At 43.4% G+C, this 21625-nt stretch overlaps 1 protein-coding gene across 7 annotated transcripts in view; it reads left to right on the top strand.

Moving 5' to 3' along the window:
- Positions 1-15056, top strand: part of FLT3 (fms related receptor tyrosine kinase 3) — a 97303-nt gene extending 82247 nt beyond the window's left edge. For all 7 annotated transcript variants that reach the window (NR_130706.2, XM_017020486.2, NM_004119.3 and 4 more), the window contains 4 exons: positions 2629-2740; positions 3074-3173; positions 3773-3878; positions 14156-15056. Coding sequence is in view for 6 of the 7 variants with exons in the window: in XM_017020486.2 (XP_016875975.1) it covers positions 2629-2740; positions 3074-3173; positions 3773-3878; positions 14156-14278 (441 nt within the window). In the remaining variant the exon portion in view is untranslated. The remainder of the gene's footprint in view (positions 1-2628; positions 2741-3073; positions 3174-3772; positions 3879-14155) is intronic.

The raw sequence follows: 21625 nt of genomic DNA, 5'->3' as shown, positions 1-21625 counted from the left end.
ATGCTTAAAAGGTTTTTCTGCAGCTTCAGGGAATCTTCCATCTATAATAAAAGCTGAGCAAAATAGCATCACATCTGTCCTTGGGCTAGCTAGTCAGAGTAGATCAGTTAGGGGCCTTTGAGTGCAATCCTCACTTTAAAAAACCCAAAATCTCAATACTTGCACTTAGTTCAGTTATCCTAGCTATAAAGTGATGATTGAGTTATGTTTTCAATTATGTGAAAAGCTAATAGTCACAATAAAGCACTTTAAAACATATATAGCACATACCTATAAAATGTTAAAGCTAAATACTTAAATATGAATTAATGAATATTTATCATCCTTTTACTGTTAACACAGGAAGATCTAAAACATGAGTGAATTGGCTGGGTGCAGTGGCTCATGCCTGTAATCCCAGCACTTTGGGAGGCCGAGGAGGGCAGATCATGAGGTCAGGAGTTCGATACCAGCCTGACTAATATGGTGAAACTCTGTCTCTACTGAAAATACAAAAAATTAGCTGGGCGTGGTGGCGTGTGCCTGTAATCCCAACTATTCGGGAGGCTGAGGCAGGAGAATTGCTTGAACCCAGGAGGTGGAGGTTGCAGTGAGCTGAGATCGCGCCACTGCACTCCAGCCTGGGCAACAAGAGCAAAGCTCTGTCTCAAAAAAAAAAAAAAAACAACAACAAAAAAAACAGTGTGAATTGACTTGGTAATGAAAAACTAAGGACAGATGTGTTTACAAAAAGAACTATTAGAAGTAATAGATGACAAAATTGTGTAGTTGAAAATGTGTGTTTTTAAAGAATTACAATACCTGGCTGGGTGCTGGTGGCTCACGCCTTTAATCCAAGGCACTTTGAGAGGCCAAGGTGGGAGAATTGCTTGAGCCCGGGTTCAAGACCAGCCTATGGAACATGGTGAGACACTCAACTGTCTCTATAAAAAATAAAAAACTAGCTGAGTGTGGTGGCACACGCCTGTGGTCTCAGCTACTTGGGAGGCTGAAGTGGGAGGATCACTTGAGCCCAGGAGGTCGAGGCTGCAGTGAGCTGTGATCACGCCACTGCACTCCAGCCTGGGCAACAGAATGAGACCCTTTTTTTTGAGACCCTGTCTCAAAAAAGAATTCCCTACTTGTGAAATAATAATAATATTAAATGCTGACTTAGTGCTTACTATGTGCTAAACATCTAAGTGCTTTATGCATATTAATTCATTTATTCCTCAGAGTACCCACTTGGAAACTGAGGCACAGAAAAGTAACTCGCCCATGGTTACACAGCATGTGGACTTGAACAGGAATAGTCTGAGCCCCGAGTCTGTGCTAACCACTATGTTGTAGTGTTTCCCATGAGGGTTATGCACTTACCTCATAGCGTTGATGTGGGAAAAAGCCAATAAAACCAACGTGAAAGCACCTTGTCCAGGGTGAACATCCAGTAAATGTGAAAAGTCAAATTAAACTGTATTCCCACTAGAAACAAATAATCATCTTAGCTGATTTACGATCTACTCCTACTCATCATAGACTGCTCATATGTAGTCATTCAGTTTCTACCCCACCAGCTGGTTGTCTCTTATGTGGGAAAGTGAATTCCATTTGGAACCACAATTAATTTCTTTAATTAATCAAATTAACCAGACTTGCCTGCATGAATCAATAGCTCATCAGTTTGCATACATTTAAAAGAGGGTTTACTTGGCTGATTAAGCATGTGCTGATTAAACATGTGCTGTGAAGGACTCGTCAACCCATGTAAAAGAAAATCAGTACAGCCAGGTGTGGTGGCTCACAGCTGTAATCCCAGCACTTTGGGAGGCTGAGGCGGGTGGATCACGAGGTCAGGAGTTCAAGACCAGCCTGGCCAACATGGTGAAATCCCGTCTCTACGAAAAATACAAAAATTAGCTGGGCATGGTGGTGCGTACCTGTAATCCCAGCTACTCGGGAGGCTGAGGCAGGAGAACCACTTAAACCAGGGAGTCTGAGGTTGCAGTAAGCTGAGATAGCGCCATTGCACTCCAGCCTGGGCAACAAGAGCGAAACTCCGTCTCAAAAAAAAAAAGAGAAAGAAAATCAGTACAAAGCTCTGCCCCAGTAACCTACCCATCTTGTGTCTTGATTCTAGTCTGAGACTATACTAAGTCAAAACTCCCTTTCATGCTAGTGGAAATTATTAAAGCCACAGAAGCCAGACTGGTATCATTTCTGGAAGTGATGACGTGGGCTCCCCTCCCGACATTATTGTGGATGACATTTCCACTAAAGGTCTTCCCAGAAATGCTGTAACAGAAGATCTCACTAATTCACTAGTACCCACTTACCCCTAGGCAACTGACTGGCTATTCCTTAATGGAAAGTACCTCTTTCCAGTGGAAAGATGGCAAGTTAAACTTACCCATTCCAAGCACAAGCCTTTGTTCGAGAGGAGTTGTAAAGAAATATGCCTTATGTTTTAGGCTAGTATTATTAGAATGTTAATTTGAAAGTGAAAACCTTTCACGTGAGGAATGTGATTTTCTCAATAAGGCATTAAGAGTGGTCTTAGGAAGATGATGCATTTCATCTTAATACAAAAGAAAAGAAGTCATGTCTGTATGTGGAAAATTCACCATCTTATCTCCTCTGGGTTTTCCACAGGCCCGTCTGCCTGTAAAATGGATGGCCCCCGAAAGCCTGTTTGAAGGCATCTACACCATTAAGAGTGATGTCTGGTCATATGGAATATTACTGTGGGAAATCTTCTCACTTGGTAAGTTGGGCAGCTGCTGGCCTCCCTTGGCTCCTGGCTTTGCATCCTCTGCTCTCTCGGTGCCGCCCCACCCCTCCCCCCAACACTGATGGGTCTTACTTGTATTGCAGCCCATGACTTTATGTTTATTTGCTGGTGTCCTTTAGCCTGTCTTCCTCACTGGTCTATAACCTGCTTGAGAGCGTGAACCGTGACTTCTTTTTCCCAGCCGCAGCCCGTGTGCCTGCAACAGTGTCTGGCACATGGCAGATCTCAATACGTGTTTAATTGAATGAATCAATAAACAAATGAAGAAATGGATGAATGGCTGCAATTGTCTAATGTTTTCCTCAGGTGTGAATCCTTACCCTGGCATTCCGGTTGATGCTAACTTCTACAAACTGATTCAAAATGGATTTAAAATGGATCAGCCATTTTATGCTACAGAAGAAATGTAAGTTCAAGTCAGACTGTAATTTGGTTGAAATCAGAAAGGTACAGTCTGTCTACTTCCAAATGCATGACCAAAAAAAGTCAAACTCCTTAGTGCAAAGCGTATAGGATTCTTTTTTTAAAAAATAGAAGTGAGGTCTTGCTGTGTTGGCCAGGCTGGTCTCAAACTCCTGGCTTCAAGCAATCTTCCTGGCTCAGCCTCTCAAAGTGCTGGGATTACAGGTGTGAGCCACCACACCTGGCTGTCTGATTCCATTTTAAAAAGAAAAGAAAACTCTTTGTTTTGGGAGTTTCTGAACAAAGCTGAACCTTTCCTGTCCTCAGAGGCACCTGCTTCCCGGTTTTAATTCCTTTGCTTGAGGGCTCCATGAAGGTCATTCGATTCTATCCACTACGTCATGTTTCTTTAAATGCATTTCTGCCCATCTGATTTCTCCTTTCGGATATGAATTCAAAATCTGGTAGAGGACTTGCCACAAAACAAACATGCTGTAAATAAGCAGCTCCAGAGGAATAAATGGTGCTTCATTATATGGAAAATGATCCATTTTGCTTCATTCAGACTTCTTCATCTTGTTCCTTGTTCTATTGCTTTTACAGATACATTATAATGCAATCCTGCTGGGCTTTTGACTCAAGGAAACGGCCATCCTTCCCTAATTTGACTTCGTTTTTAGGATGTCAGCTGGCAGATGCAGAAGAAGCGGTATGTAGCAGCCAGGACTTTATAAAGCTTTACAAAGGAAATTGGTAAATTAAAACACTTGTTGCTGTCTTCCTGTGAACCAAAGGTACCAAGTTGTCATTCTCATTGCAGTTTTTCTGGGTTGCCCTTTCAAAGTTGTGTGGGGTAAGACTTTATTTATTTGTTTATTTATTTATTTATTGAGACAGGGTCTCGCTCTGTGGCCCAGGCTGGAGTGTGTGGCGTGATCATGGCTCACTGCAGCCTCGACCTCCCAAGCTCAAGCAATCCTCCAGCCACGGCCTTCCAAGTAGCTAGGACCATGGGAGGGCAGCACCACGCCAGGCTAAGTTTTTTATTTTTTGTAGAAATAGGGTATCACTGTATTGCCCAGGCTGGTCTTGAACTCCTGGGCTCAAGCGATTCCCCCACCTCAGCCTCCCAAAGTGCTGGGATCACAGGGCATGAGCTCCTCTGCCTGCCCTAAGACATATTGATAAAAATGTTTTTAGGGAAAAAAAACACCTTTCCTGATTTCAGCCAAATGATTAATAAATTAAAAGCTCTTAAGAGTTCAGTGCAGTGAAGTAGACAACTAAATAAAACTAAATAAAAATAATCCCTGGCCTCCAGAAGCCACTAGCCCTTTCTTATGAAGCATGAGTGTGGAAAAATCACATGACTCAATCATGCTATATGGTAGCCTGGAAAGAGCATTGACCTGGAGTTCTGAGGGTTGAATACCAGCTGTACCACTCTGTCTCCCAATTGTGTCCATTATAGCAAATCACTTTACTTCTCTAAGCATCAGTTTTCTCACCTGTAAAATGGGTTGTTAAGTTAGATTATCTTTTGAGCTTTGAGGACTTGGAATTTCTTTGCTAACGCTTCCCCCATCAACACCACCACCTGGTATAGTGAAAAGAACCATCTCCAGATGAAATAAATAAAGGAGAGAACCTTGGGCTCCTAATACTGAGGTTCAGATCTTGGCTCCATCGTTTACTTGATAAGTCACTTAATCTTTTGGGAAGTCTCCTTCTCAGTTTCTTTACCTGAAATATGTGATTAACAAATCTCACCTCATGGAGTTGTAAGAAGGAGTAAATCAGGTGATGTATGTGAGAAGAGTTAGCACGTACTGGGCACTTGGTATTTACTCCATAAAATGTTAGTTAAATATAAATCTGATTTTTAAGTGGATTGTCTGTCCTCCTTTCTAAATTGTTATGAGTCAGTTTTCAGTTCTGTATTCTCTATATAGACCTGGGTAGATAGTGTGTACTTTCCTACTGCTGTGATTTTTTTGAAAATGACATGGAAACTAGGTTATTGTCAGAGAATTAGGTCAAAAGGCCAGAGGAAATGGAAAGCCCCCAGCAGACTTATAGCCTATTGCACAGATACCTATAAACTGTTCATGACACCATAAGGTAAACTGAAAGAAGAGTTTAGAATGAAACAGGAAGTGAGCTGGTAAAGAAAGAATGTATATGTGCATGTATAGCTGTCTAGCTATACACTTTTTTTTTTTTTGAGACAGGGTCTTGCTCTGTCATCCAGGCTGGAGTGCAGTGGAATGATCTCAGCTCACTGCAGCCTCCACACTGTGAGCTCAAGCAATCCTCCCACCTCAGCCTCCCAAGTAGCTGGGACCACAGGCACACACCACCGGACCCAGCTATTTTTTTTGTATTTTTGGTAGACACGGGCTCTCACTATGTTGCCCAGGCTGTTCTCAAACTTCTGAGCTCAAGTGGTCCACCTGCCTCAGCCTCCCAAAGTGCTAGGATTACAGGCATGAGCCACCACGCCTGGCTAAGAGAGGACTGATTGATGTTACTCATTGCATAGTTGGGTGTGGATTTGTGGGGAACTTGTGAGCTGGATGTGAGGACTGAGTAGCATCTTGTCTGCTGGAGAGTAGAGGGTGAGTAGGATATTCCAGGATGAATGAATCATATAAATAAAAGTCCAAAGTTGAAAAAGTAGAGTGGCAAGTAGATGGCTGTGCCTAATATACAGGGAGAATGGGGGAGTAGAGAGGGAAAAAAAAGTGCAAAGCTCGTGTCGCCAGGATGGAGGCTTCAGGACCACTTGGGTCTTGGTTTGAGCTTCTCCTTTCCTGTCCCCATACTCACAGGATGTCCAGATCCCCTTTCCTGTGTTCAGGGGGCCTGTCAGGTATCAGGAACCGTTGAATGGCAACATATCCATGCATGATTAATCAGCTGAGAGAATCCATGCTTAGGGACAGACGGTTCACAAACTTTTTCTCCCAGTTCCTTCCACTCTGTTCCCTGACCCTCTGTGACCAGTGTCAGAAGCACCCAGAGAAAATGGTAGCTCCTTTAAGCAGGTTAGAAAACAGGCCCCCATGGCCCATTGCAGTGGGTCACACATGTAATCCCAGCACTTTGGGAGGCTGAGGTGGGCGGATCACTTGAGGTCATGAGTTCCAGACCAGCCAGGCCAACATGGCAAAATCCCATCTCTACTAAAAAAAAATTAGCCAGGCGTGGTGGCGCATGCCTGTAATCCCAGCTACTCGGGAGGCTGAGGCAGAAGAATCGCTTGAACCTGGGAGGTGGATGTTGCAGTGAGCCGAGATGGCACCACTGCACTCCAGCCTGGGTGACACAGTGAGACTCTATCTCAAAAAAGAAAAAGAAAGAAAAAGAGAAAGAAAGAGAGAAAGAAGGAAGGAAAGAAAGAGAAAGAGAGAAAAAAAAGAAAGAAGAAAGAGAGAAAGAAAGAAAGAGAAAAAGAGAAAGAAAGGAAGGAAGGAGGAGGGAAGGAAGGAAGGAAGGAAGGAAATGCCCCCCTCCCCGGGTGGGAGGAGTCCAGAGGAACCCCTTACTTAGGGCTCATGCAGCCTGCCTCAGTCTAAGCCAGTCTGAAGGAGGAGAGCTTGGCGTGGGTCTCAGCCATCTTGCCCGCTCTGCTGGGCACTTTTGTTTGGTGCAAGGCACAACCCACACAGCCACGCAGGCAGCCCTGCCCACTCTGCAGAATCCTATCTAGTCCCTTGGTTGGAAAACTGGCCTTGTCACCTTCCCCAGGGTGATCTTCCCTGTTATATCTGTGAAAGGTTTTGTAGAATCTTCTCTCCTCCCCTCCCCTCCCCTCCCCTCCCCTCTCCTCTCCTCTTTTCTTTTTTTTTGAGACAGAGTCTCACTCTGTCACCCAGGCTGGAGTGCAGTGGCATGATCTCAGCTCACTGCAACCTCTGCCTCCTGGGTTCAAGCAATTCTTATGCCTCAGCCTCCTGAGTAGCTGGGACTACAGGCACGCGCCACCACGCCCAGCTAATTTTTGTGTTTTTAGCAGAGACGGAGTTTCACCATATTGTCCGGGCTGGTCTCAAACTCCTGACCTCATGATCCGCCCACCTCAGCCTTCCAAAGTGCTGAGATTACAGGCGTGAGCCACCCCACCTGGCCCTATTTTTCTTTTTAATTTATTTTTTTTAGACAGAGTCTCACTCCGTCACCCAGGCTGGAGTGCAGTGGCGTGATCTCCGCTCACTGCAACCTTCACCTCCTGGGTTCAAGCAATTATCGTGCCTCAGCCTCTTGAGTAGCTGGGATTACAGGCATCTGCCACCACGCCTGGCTAATGCATCTTTAGTAGAGACGGGGTTTTACCATGTTGGCCAGGCTAGTCTCAAACTCCTGAGGTCAAGCGATTCGCCTGCCTCGGCCTCCCAAGGTGGGGGGATTACAGGCATGAGCCACCATGCCCGGCCAGAATCTTTGTTTCTGCATCAAGGACTAGGGAAGGAAAAGGGCCCTCAGAGAACCAGAGAGAAAGAGTGGGAAATGCATGGAGAAAACATAGGTTAAGGCTTTTATGTCTAACCTCAACACCAATGGGATTAGATCAGGGAGATCACTGATTACATGATTACCTGTCTAGGCATTTAGACAGTGGTGAACCGATGAAGATTTTTAGGATGGACAAACATGCTTCAATCTTTAAGAACCAGATCAAATATTCTGTGCTCTGCAAAGCCTCCCCCAATTTCCCTAGTCAGATTTCAGGCTGCTGCTTCTGAATTCTCATTAACACTTTCAGCTGTAACTCCATGTGAGACTCAAATCCTAGTGTAGGATGACTTTATATTATGGGTCTCTCTCTGTCGTCACTAGACTTCATTAGCAAGGGTAAATACTGTTTCCTGTTCATCTTTACACCCCATGGGGTAGTGCTTGCCATGTGATATTAAGTAAATGAATGAAGTCAGCATGAAAGCAAGTTGGAGACCACATCTGTTTGGTTCATCATTATAGACCCCGCTGCTAGCATGATGCTTAGCACGTGGAAGGCGCTCAGCAAACATTTCTGGAATGAGAAAGAAAAAGAGAGCATAAAAGGAAGTTTGGAAAAGCGAGGCAGAAGATGAGATGTCAGGACATCAGTTGAGAGGGGCGGCAGCAGCAAGGATGGGCACGCTGAGGGAGCACACTAGGCAGGGGCTGTGGGCTGATAAAAGGGGGCACATACTTGTCCCCTGTTTCAGAAAAGGGGTCTGAACTAACATCACCTCCCCTCTCCTACTCAGCCCCATAAATTATAGGAAATAAGTTTGTTTTGTTTTAAGAGAAGGGAGGCCAAGCGTGGTGGCTGACACTGATAATCCCAGCACTCTGGGAGGCTGAGGCACAAACATAGATTGAGCTCAGGAGTTCAAGGCCAGTCTGGGCAACATGGTAAAACCCTATCTCTACAAAAAAATTTGAAAATTAGCCAGGCGTGGTGGTGCATTCCTGTGGTCCCAGCTGCTAGGGAGGCTGAGGTGGGAGGATCGCTTGAGTCTGGGGAGCGGTCATGGCTGCAGTAAGCCACGATCATGCCACTGTACTCTAACCTGGGTGACAGAGCAAGACTCTGTCTCAACAGAACAGAACTAAACTAAACTAAAATAAAAGTGAGGCCATAATTGGCTTTGACAGTAAGAAAGAGATCTTTTTGTGGACCAGAAACTGTGGAAAATCCCTGAGACAATGAAAGCAGTTAAAATTGCACTGCAGAGGGAAAACCCACCACAGAGGATGCCTGGGAAAAACAAGGACAAGGGTAACACAAAGGCAGCAAGAAGTCCTGGGACACTGCAGAAGTTCTGAAGCAGGAGCAGCCACATGGTGAAATCAACATAAGATTAAATGTGGGTGTTAAAAATGTAAGAACGATATGGGTGAGATAGAAACGTAACACATAACTTCTGTTTCAGTACAGGGGAAGAAAATGACCATAGAAAACATAATCAGTCCAACAAAATGGGGGAAGAGAAAAATAAAGAGAGTTCATGGAAATAGAAAACACAAAATTAGCTGGGTGTGGTGGTGCAAGCTTGTAGTTCTAGCTACTCAGGAGGCTGAGCTGGGAGGATTCCCTGAGCCCAGGAAGTCGAGGCTGCAGTGAGCTATAACTGGGCTGCTGCACTCCAATATGGGCAAAGGAGAGAGATCCCATCTCTAAAGAATAAAATAAATAAATAAAAATTGAAAATACAAAAATAAAACACAAAATGGCAACAATCAGTAAGCCTACTTAGGAAAGAGAATCTCAGAATAAATAAAGTTGTTAACATGCATTGTTAGTGAATGCCACATTCACTAATCTCAATACAATGTAATAAAAAAATCACCCAACCAAAAAAGCCCCCAAATTTATATACCAAAATTAAAAATCAGCCAGGCGTGGTAGCTCACGCCTGTAATCCTAGCACTTTGGGAGTCTGAGGCGAGTGGATCACCTGAGGTCAGGAGTTCGAGACCAGCCTGGCCAACCTGGTGAAACCCCGTCTCTACTAAAAAGACAAAATTAGCTGGGTGTGGTGGCAGGTAGCTAAAATCCCAGCTACTTGGGAGGCTGAGGCACGAGAAGTGCTTGAAACCGGGAGGCGGAGGTTGCAGTGAGCCTAGACTGCACCATTGCACTCCAGCCTGGGAGTGCAAACAGAACGAAACTCTGTCTCAAAAAATAAATAAATAAAATAAAAATCATGCCTCTTAAGCAAGTCTTTGCTTAAGAAGAAGAAGGGGAAAGAGGGAGAAGGAGCAAAAATGGATATTGCCTATTAAAACCTGTGAGAGTTACCCAAATTCATAATTCTAAATTCATTTATTAGAAAACAAAGAAAAATGAAAATCAATAGCTAACCTTTTTTTCCTTTTTTTTTTTTTTTTTTTTTTGAGACAGGTTCTTGCTCATTGCAGCCTCAAATTCCTGGAATCAAGCGATCCTCCCACCTCAGCTTCCTGAGTACTTTTTAAAAATTCTCTTTTGCAGAGATGGGGATCTTGCTATGTTGTGCAGGCTAGTCTCAAACTGCTGGCCTCAAGCAATCCTCCTGCCTCAGCCTCCCAAAGTGCTGGGATTACTGGTGTGAGCCACCGCACCTAGCCTGATTAACCTTTCAATTTAAGAAGCTAGGGAAAAAACAAACAACAATAAAGAAGAAGGTGGAGAGAGAGAGGAGGAGGAAAATGAACAAAGCAGAAAGAAGGAATTAATAGAGATATAGCCAGATTTAATGACACAGAGGAAGTAGCAACAGCAAAATAATAGCGATGATCAGGAAAACCAAAAGTTGTTTTTTGAACTAATAATGTAATTGCTAACATTTTTTGAGTATTTAATCATAGAGTTTACTAATGTATTAGCCACAAAATTAATAACTCTTAATCCTCACCTCAATCTCCTGAAGTAGGTTCTATTATTATCCCTTTAGCAGACTAGTAAATTGAGGCACAGAGAGGTTAAGTAATTTGCCTAAGGTAACATGGTAAATGTCAGACTTAGGATTTGAATACAGCAGTCTGAGTGTAGTCTATACTGTATATTAATATTGTATATCAACAAAGTATACAAATATACTACTAAAGCTACTATCTTTGAAGTGAACAATTAAGAAAAAAAGAAGTCGGGTGTGGTGGCTCACGCCTGTAATCCCAGCACATTGAGAGGCCAAGGTGAGAGGATCACTTGGGCTCAGAGGTTTGAGACCAGACTGGGCAACATAATGGGACCCCATCTCTACCAAAAATTAAAAAATTAACCAGGTGTAGTGGCGCACACCAGTAGTCCCAGTTACTCAGGAGGCTGAGACAAGAGAATCACTTCTGCCTAGGAGGTTGAGGCTGCAGTGAGCTGTGATTGCACCACTGTACTCCAGCCTGAGTGACAGAGCGAGACCCTGTCTTGAAAAAGAAAAAAGCACAAATAAATAACATTCAGATGAAAAGGAAACGATAACTAAGGAAAAAAGAACCATTTTTTAAAGTATAAGAAAATTTATATACTTCTTTATAATGATACATTTGAAAACCTAGGGTTTGTTTCACAATTTCATAAGGAGAATGTATTTAAAAAGTCATTTAAAGGTCACTTTTATGATGTTATCTGTGAGCCTGTTAAAAACAACAGTGGCTGAGGGTGGTGGCTCACGCCTGTAATCCCAGCACTTTGGGAGGCCTAGGTGGGTGGATCACTTGAGGCCAGGAGTGCAAGACCAGCCTGGTCAACATGGTGAAACCCTGTCTCTACTAAAAAAATATAAAAATTAGCCAGGTGTGGTGGTACACACCTGTAGTCCCAGCTACTTGAGGCACAAGAATTGCTTGAACCTGAGAGGCAGAGGTTGCTGTGAGCTGAGATCATGCCACAACACTCCAGCCTGGGCAACAGAGTGAGACTCTGTCACAACAGCAACAGCAACAACAAAAAAAAAAAAAAAAAAGGAAAGAAAGGTCACTTAAAGAAATGGAAAAGAGTGATGTATTACAACTATACCCAGTAACTAGCTATGGGAGTGGAGAGAGATTGTCAGAGATGGTTCTAGAAACTTCTAGACAGTGAGACTGGATGAAGAGCACATGTTAGTTAATTCAGGTGGAAGATTGGAAGTGTTATTGGTATTTGTGCTACACAAACTTCATGAGGTGGTTAGAAATTCAGTGGTAGAGATGTACATTTGGATTCAACAGGTTCAACAAATGCTAACTAACTGCTATGTCTACTTCACAAAAGGCACGCATGAGTAGTTACTGTTCATCCTTCAGGGTACAAGCAAAGCTGTCATTGTGCAACACCTGGTTCACAATGGATATATTTTGGGTCAAAGGATACACACACACACACACACACACACACACACACACAATTTTCTAGAAAGAAAAGTGAAGTGTAGGAGGCAGTCTGGACAGTTCACATTAAAACTGTCAAAAACAAAGAAAAAGAAGTAGACAGTAACAAGGGCTGTGGGAACGGAACAAATCTATAAAATTTAAATAGAATGCATGATTCCTAAATCATAAAGTTCTTATAAACAAATAATAATAAAAATGTATCACCTTTTAAAAACTTATTTCTTTTAGAGACAGGATCTTGCTATGTTGGTTAGTTTGGTCTTGAACTCTTGGCCTCAAGCAATCCTCCCGCCCCGGCCTCCCAAAGTGCTAGGATTACAGAGTTGAGCCAGTACACCCAGCCTGTATAGCCTTTTATATACATAAAAGGCAAAGGAAATAGGCAGGCTATTCAAAATGAAAACAAATGGACATAAAGTATAGGAAAAAGGCCCAACTTTGCAGATAGTGAAACATATATAGTTAAGGAGATAGAACTTCTTGCTCAGCAAAAGAGAAGAGATGTGGGAGGCTGACATACCCATTGTTCAGAAGGCTCTGGAAAATATAGTTTCCAGGCACCGTTGATAGGAGTAGAAATAAATACAACCTTTCTGCAGGGCAGCCTGGCCTTGTGTATCACAGTTCAAGTGTGCATCCTTTTTGATCCAGCAATTCCACTTCTGCTTATCCCAACGTCAGACTAGATTGAGTGTGCACTTTTCAGTTTGTTTCGTATAACCAGTTGGTCAAAAGGTTAATTATGATGCATCAGTACTATGGAACTCTAGGCTGCCGTGAAAAAAAAATATGTGGCCATCCTTAGTGAATAATGTAAATATGTGACACAGGCAACATATGAGCAGTATAATAACAATATATTGATAATTCAAAATAAGGTTCCAAAATAGAATATATAGCCTGAGCCCACAGACACAAAATTGTGTGTGCATAGCAAGCTGTCTATAATGGCGGGTACTTGTCATGACTTGTAGCCTTTTTTCTTTTTTTTGAGATGGAGTCTTGCTCTGTCACCCAGGCTGGAGTGCAGTGGCACAATCTAGGCTCACTGCAGCCTCCACCTCCCAGGTTCAAGCAATTCTCCTGCCTTAGCCTCCCAAGTAGCTGGGACTGCAGGCGCGCGCCGCCATGCCCGGCTAGTTTTGTATTTTTAGTAGAGACAGGGTTTCTCCACGTTGGCTAGGCTGGTCCTGAACTCCCAACCCCAGGTGATCCGCCCGCCTCGGCATCCCAAAGTGCTGGGATTACAGGCATGAGCCACTGCGCCCGGCCTTCTACGTCTCTTTCTGTATTTCTCAAATTATCTATATGAATGCATGTTAACTTCATATTTGGGAAAGGAAAGTAAATCTCTTCATTTCAGAAAAAAATATTTAAAAGTCGTGAAACTCCAAGGGAAAACTCAAGAATCAGTCCCTTGTATTAACTCCATAATGAACAGATTTCCTTTTGTGGCCTTTCTCTTTTATGATTTTTCTGCATGGTTTTAGGATTTCTAGGGTGACATTTTATATCTGAGAGTAGACTCAATAATGAAATAAAATATTTGACTATGATTTGATTTCTCCATTAATAAAAGGACCAAAATTGCTTTTTTAGTTATATAGAATATCCTCTGAGACCTATGCATAATAAAAGTACTTGTCTACACGTTTCCTGAAAATATGTACATCTATTATATATCAGTTTAAACATTTTAAAAGTGATGTCTAGGCCGGGCGTAGTGGCTCACACCTGTAATCGCAGCACTTTGGGAGGCCGGGGTGGTGTGGGATCACTTGAGCCCAGGAGTTTGAGACCACCCTGGACAACATAGTGAGACTTTGTCTTTACAAAAAATAAAAAAATTAGCAGGGTGTGGTGGAGCCTGCTTGTGGTCCCAGCTACTCAGGAGGTTAAGGTGGGAGGATTGCTCAAACCCAGAACATCAAGGCCACGGTGAACTATGGTTGTACCACTGCACTCCAGTCTGGGCAACAGAGCGAGACTCTGTCTCAAAAAATAAACAAACAAACAACAAACAAACAAAAAAGTAATTGTCTATATAGAACAACTGTTTTTATTTAAATAATTTGTAATATGGGCGCATAACATGTGCATCTACATCAGATGGTAATCAGTGTTCTGTCTCTTTCCCACATTCAGATGTATCAGAATGTGGATGGCCGTGTTTCGGAATGTCCTCACACCTACCAAAACAGGCGACCTTTCAGCAGAGAGATGGATTTGGGGCTACTCTCTCCGCAGGCTCAGGTCGAAGATTCGTAGAGGAACAATTTAGTTTTAAGGACTTCATCCCTCCACCTATCCCTAACAGGCTGTAGATTACCAAAACAAGATTAATTTCATCACTAAAAGAAAATCTATTATCAACTGCTGCTTCACCAGACTTTTCTCTAGAAGCTGTCTGCGTTTACTCTTGTTTTCAAAGGGACTTTTGTAAAATCAAATCATCCTGTCACAAGGCAGGAGGAGCTGATAATGAACTTTATTGGAGCATTGATCTGCATCCAAGGCCTTCTCAGGCTGGCTTGAGTGAATTGTGTACCTGAAGTACAGTATATTCTTGTAAATACATAAAACAAAAGCATTTTGCTAAGGAGAAGCTAATATGATTTTTTAAGTCTATGTTTTAAAATAATATGTAAATTTTTCAGCTATTTAGTGATATATTTTATGGGTGGGAATAAAATTTCTACTACAGAATTGCCCATTATTGAATTATTTACATGGTATAATTAGGGCAAGTCTTAACTGGAGTTCACGAACCCCCTGAAATTGTGCACCCATAGCCACCTACACATTCCTTCCAGAGCACGTGTGCTTTTACCCCAAGATACAAGGAATGTGTAGGCAGCTATGGTTGTCACAGCCTAAGATTTCTGCAACAACAGGGGTTGTATTGGGGGAAGTTTATAATGAATAGGTGTTCTACCATAAAGAGTAATACATCACCTAGACACTTTGGCGGCCTTCCCAGACTCAGGGCCAGTCAGAAGTAACATGGAGGATTAGTATTTTCAATAAAGTTACTCTTGTCCCCACAGTCCCCTTCATTTTATTTTTATTTATTTGTTTGTTTATTTAATGTTTTAGTGACAGGGTCTCACCCTGTCTCCCAGGCTGGAGTGGAGTGGTGAGATCACAGCTCACTGCAGCCTGAAACTCCTGGCCTCAAGCGATCCTCCCACCTCAGCCTCCTGAGTGGCTGGGACTACAAGCACAGGCCACCACGCCCAGCTAATTTTTAAAATTTTTTGTAGAGATAGTGTCTTGCTATGCTGTGCAGGCTGGTCACAAATTCTTGGCCTCAAACAGTCCTCTTGCCTCAGCCTCCTAAAGTGCTGGGATTACAGGTGTGAGCCATGGCGACCAGCCCTCTTTGTCCTTTGAAGCTTAGCACCCTCCATCCTGTAGGCTTATGAACTTGGTTTGTGCCCCCGCCCCGCCCACCTCCGCTTACACGACAGGTGCCACCAAATTCTGCCTCTTCTTTCTCCTCCACCTCCTGTTGCATGTAGTGGTGAGGGACAAGGGATCTGGAACCGGTCAGCCCAGGTTGGAATTCTCTTTTCACCTGGCCTTAGCTGTGTCATTGGGGCAAGTAACTCAACTTCTCTAGCCTCAGTTTCCTTTTCTGAAAAATGGGACACTAATGGCATCTCTTTTATAGAGTTGCTGGAATAATTAGATGAATTAAATATATACGTAGCTTAGAAATATAGAAATATAGAACATAAACATATACATCATGTAGATCAATGCCTGGCACCTCAGTGTGACCTAATAGCATCATTTGTGCCTTCCTTTATAGTTTTAATCCTTTGCCTAGTACCAGGTCACCATAAACTCCCTTAGATTACCAGTCCTTTTAATGGCAGCAGCGGCCCATCTGGAGTGGCCACTGCAAAGATGCCAGCTGCAGTGTGGGAGCCACAGGGGCTGTGCGCTCCGTGGAGCTAGTGGGAGCCCCGCCCCCTTTTGAGATGGCAGGGCGGGAGCCCCACCCTCCTGGGAGCAGCTGCCACCAGACTAGCGGTGGCTGCAGACTTAGACGTCCCTGCGCTCCCGGCCGGGGAAGCCCTTCCTGCCCCCACTGCTCACAAGTGTCTGCTCTTGCTGCCTGGCCTCTTCCCACTCCTGGTGGCACTCAGATTTTTGAGCAAAGTTGAGGCTGAGCTCCCCCACTGTCGCCGCCCTGCCAGGTGTGTGCGCACTTAGGGTGGCGCTGACATGCCAGCTCCCTGCTGCCTTGGCCCCCTCTGGACTTTGGACACCGACCAGCACAGGAGGGAGGCCAAGCCGGGGCTGAGGGTGGCTAGGCATGGGTCTGCAGGTGCCCCTCAGCAGGAACAGTCTAGGCACCGTGGATGACATAATCGATGGTAGCGGGAGGCAGATAGGCTCCTGGGCAGAAGGAGTCAGGTCCCCAGTGAAGCCCCACCTTCAAGCCAGGGACTGCCCGAAGCATGGGGGCCAAGCTGTCAGTTCCGGGTGGGGTCCCCAGCAGGGAGTGAGAAATTCTGGTGCTTTTTCGCTGGCCCATGCACCAACAATCGGCATGCACTTTCTCCTTTCTGAAGCCCATTAACCTCCCCACTCCCCGCACCCACCTCCCTGACCCCCACAACTCAGCCAGATTTGCAGAGACCTCAGGACAACTTGCCTGTGGAAGGGAGCTACCCACTTCAGGTCTCCTGAGAGCTGTTCTGTTGCTCAGTGAAGCTCCTCCCTGCCTTGTTCACCCTCCACATGTGCGAGTACCTCATTCTTCCTGGACACTGGACAAGAACTTCGGACCCACTGAATGATGGGACTGAAAGAACTGTAACAACCTGGTGACAAGGGAAGAAGACGTGGCCCTTCAGGGGGCCCAGACCTCGAGCTCCCCAAGCCAGGGCTCTGACAGCCTCTTTGGGGCTCTGTGGTTCCTGGCGTCTCCAAGCTGCCAGGCCACCGTGTTCCCCTTGTCCAGACATGGATGCCTGCAGCAGAAGCGGCATGTGTTATATCTAACCCAGCTGTAGCCTCACCCTGAGCTGGCACCTGTGCCAGTGCCTGGAGCTGCCCACCCCGCTGCAGCAGCCAGCGTGCCTGGCTGCACACAGTGGTCGGACCCTTGGTCACTAACCCACGCACCCCTCCTGGCTCTGCGCCTGGCTCGCCCTTGGCAGGTGTGGGATCTGGGCCCATATTGCAAGCTGAGCCAGACTGCTGGGCTGAGTGGGTGGAATAAGCCCAGAGGCTGCGAGCAATACTCAGGCAGAAGGCATCGCGAGCCACAAAGGTTTCCAGCTGGCAAAGCAACACCCCAAGGATCCTGTGACTCCTTCCTCACCTAACTCTTCCTCCAATCTCTCCACCATTCAGTGTTTTCTCTAAGCCACTGCCAGGTTCATCTTCCTAAAGTACTGATTTGCATATGTCGCTGCCTGCAGGGCTTCCTGGGATCTAGCAGCTAGTTCCCAGGGTCTAGCAGCAAAAGCCACACTCTCTTCCTAGCACTCCATGCACCCACAGCCTGGCCTCAGCATTGCTCAGCACTGGCTGCTTAGCCTGTCCCTCTAGCGAGTGTGTCTTGAACATTCCCACCTCTGGTTTTCCTCTCCTTGGAATGTCAACTTCTGCTCTTCCTAGTTACATCCTTGCTTCCTGACCAGACTTCAGCTCTTTCTTCTCCTTCAGGTCTTCGCCAGTTTCCGAGCCCATGAGTGACGGCTTCCTGCACTGAAATGTAAGGGCTTCTGGTCTGTATCTCAATGTAGAGCCTGCCTACCTTATGCTGTTATTTATCTTCTTAAGTAAATGTCCTGTCTTCTTAACAGGATTTTAAGAAGTTTGAAAGCAGATATGATTTATGCCAAGTTGTATGCTTAACTCTGATTTGGGTATACAGTCAAGATACAATAAGTATACATAGTCAATCACTTTTTTACCTACTCAAGTAAAAACATAAAATACGCTTGATGTTAAAAATCAAATCATTTTGACCCGGCGCAGTGGCGCAGTGGCTCACGCCTGTAATCCCAGCACTTTGGGAGGCTGAGGCAGGTGGATCACCAGGTCAGGAGTTCAAGACCAGCCTGGCCAAGACAGTGAAACCCCCTCTCTACTAAAAAATACAAAAATTAGCCAGGCGTGGTGGCAGGTGCCTGTAATCCCAGCTACTTGGGAGCCTGAGGCAGAGAATTGTTTGAACCCAGGAGACGGAGGTTGCAGTGAGCCGAGATCATGCCACTGCTCTCCAGCCTGAGCGACAGAGCGAGACTCTGTCTCAAAAAAAAAAAAAAAAATAAACTATTTTTTATTTTTACCTATAATAATAAGTGGGACCTTTTATTTGTACAACCCAAATCCCAAAATACTACTTCGGGAAAACTACTGATAAAGTTTGAGGTATTGGCTGGATGCAGTGGTTCATGCCTGTAATCTCAGCACTTTAGGAGGCGGAGATGGGAGGATCACTTGAGGCCAAGAGTTCAAGACCAGCCTGGGCAATGTGGTGAGAGACCCCCATCTCTACAGAAATTAAAAAAAAAAACGTAAAAACTAGCTGGGAGTGGTGGTGTGTATCCATAGTCCCAGCTACTTGGGAGGCTATGGTGGGAGGATTGCTCAAAGGAGTTCAAGGCTGTGGTGAGCCATGATCACACCATTGCACTCCAGCCTGGGCTACAGAGTGAGACCCTGTCTCTGAAAAAATAAAAAAGTTTGAGGTATATTTCCCCCATCTTCTTGTTAAATATATTTACATGGCAGGGCACAGTAGCTCACACCTGTAATCCCAGCACTTTGGGAAGCCGAGGCAGGTGGATCACCTGAGGTTGGGAGTTTGAGACCAGCCTGACCAACATGGAGAAACCCCGTCTCCACTAAAAATACAAAATTAGCGGGGCATGGTGGCGCATCCCTGTAAATCCCAGCTACTTGGGAGGCTGAGGCAGGAGAATCACTTGAATCCAGGAGGTGGAGGTTGTGGTGAGCCGAGATGGAGCCATTACACTCCAGCCTGGGCAACAAGAGCAAAACTCCATCTCAAAAAAATATATATATATGTATGTATATTATATACATATAAATATATATATTTATATACATATATATATGTATATACATATAAATATAAATATATATATGTATATACATATAAATATAAATATATATGTATATACATATAAATATAAATATATATATGTATATAAATATTATATATATTTATATGTATATACATATATATTTATATGTATATACATATATATTTATATGTATATACATATATATATGTATATACATATATTTATATGTATATAAATATATATTTATATGTATATAAATATATATTTATATGTATATACATATATTTATATGTATATAAATATATATTTATATGTATATAAATATATATTTATATGTATATAAATATATATAACATATATTTATATATAAATATATATATATTTTTATATATGTATATAAATATATATATTTATATGTATATAAATATATATAAATATATATAACATATATTTATGTATATATAACATATATTTATATATAAATATATATATTTATATATATATAACTGCACACACATAGTTACATATACACACACACACACATCTTTTTTATGTAAATGAAATCATACTGGCTATATTGTCAGACATGCCTTTTATTCTTTACAATGTGTCAATATTTGCCCAATATGTGTATCTGTGAAGGGCTTGTTATGTGCAGGGAACTAGATGTGTGTTATCTCATTTAATCTTCCTAACTACCTTATGAATTAGGTTCTAAACTTATACCAATTTTTTCTGAGGAAATTGAAACTTGAGCTAATAACTTGCTGTCTCCAGTCCCCTGTTAACACTTACCTTGAGATGACTGTTGGGTTCTACTATTATGTGATTTTCTGTATTTCCTTACTTTTCTTTCTTAGCTTTTTGTAATTCTCATTTTGTCTCTTTTTATCATATCTGTCTATTTTTTATTGTGGTAAAAAAACCCACATAAAATGTACAACCTCTTAAGGAGAAATGAAAATCAACTCTTATTAAACCAAATTCTTACCACAGATTCTATTTCAGTTTGGGTCAAGTTTTGTACCTGACATAACTACCTATTTTTAACACCGAGGAGGAATGCAACTTGCTGTTCCTACATAGGCTGTTGCTGCACAAGGGCAGCCCTTTCCACTAGGCCTTTGTAGTAATCTTGCCAGCAGCTGGCGCCCTAGCACTTCTTTAAAAAATTGATCTCAGGCCCTAGGCCTGACTTCGCGACTACGCCCTGCCTGCCCCTGGAAAGGCAGATTTTAAGTAGCAGAATGAAAGAAAAAGCCAATCCGCTGATTCGAAGGAAAACAACCCTCTATGCAGATAGCTTCAATTCATTTCTTCAGTATTCAGTTGGGTTTTAAAAGTTTTATTTTAAACTGACAAATAATAATTGTATCTACTTATGGGGTACAATGTGATGTTTCAATACATGTAAACATTGTGGGATGATGAAGTCAGGGTAATTAGTATATCCATCGCCTCAAATATTTATTTATTTATGATTATTATCATTTTTTGAGATGGAGTCTTGCTCTTTCGCCCAGGCTGGAGTGCAGTGGTGTGATCTCTGTTCACTGCAACCTCCGCCTCCTGGATTCAAGTGATTCTCATGGCCTCAGTCTCCCGAGTAGCTGGGATTACAGGTGTGTGCCACCACGCCCAGCTAATTTTTGTATTTTTAGTAGAGACGAGGTTTCACCATGCTGGCCAGGCTGCTCTCGAACTCCTGACCTCAGGTGATCTAATTGCCTCAGCCTTCCAAAGGGCTAGGATTACAGGTGTGAGCCACCACGCCCGGCCTCAAATATTTATTATTTATTTGTGGTGAGAACATTTAAAACCCTGTGTTTTCGCCATTTTGGAGTATACAATACATTCCTATTAACTACAGTCATTGTGTTGTACAATAGAACACCAGAGCTTATGCCTGCTGTCTAACGGAAACTTTGGACCCTTTGACAAACTTCTCCCCTCACCTCTCCCCCACATCTTGCCCGCCCCAGCCTCTGGTAACCAACATTTGACTCTACTTACATGCTTCAACTTTTTTAGATTCCACACCTAAGTGAGATCATACAATATTTGCCTGTCTCTGTCTGCCTTATTCCAATTAACACAATGTCCTCTAGATTCATCCATGTTATCATAAAGGACAGAATTTCCTGTTTTTTAAAGGCTGAGTAGACCGAGGCTGGTGGCTCATGCCTGTAATCCCAGCACTTTGGGAGGCCAAGGTGGGTGGATCACCTAAGGTCAGGAGTTTGAGACTAGCCAGGCCAACATGGCGAAATCCCATCTCTACTAAAAATACAAGAATTAGCTGGGTACAGTGGTGGGTGCCAGTAATCTCAGCTACTCTGGAGGCTGAGGCAGGAGGATTACTTGAACCTGGGAGGTGGAGGTTGCAATGAGAGGAGATCGTGCCATTGCACTCTAGCCTGGGCAACAAGAGCGAGACTCTGTCTCAGAAAAAAAATAAATAAATAAGGCTAAGTAGTTTCTATTGTGTATACATACTATATTTTAAAAATCCATTCATCTGTTGCTGGACACTGAGATT

The sequence above is a fragment of the Homo sapiens genome, chromosome 13 (genome assembly GCF_000001405.40).
Source record: "Homo sapiens chromosome 13, GRCh38.p14 Primary Assembly".
In the NCBI taxonomy this organism is placed as follows: Eukaryota; Metazoa; Chordata; class Mammalia; order Primates; family Hominidae; genus Homo; species Homo sapiens.
Note: the sequence above shows the minus strand (reverse complement) of the source record. Positions and strands in the feature narration are given on the sequence as shown.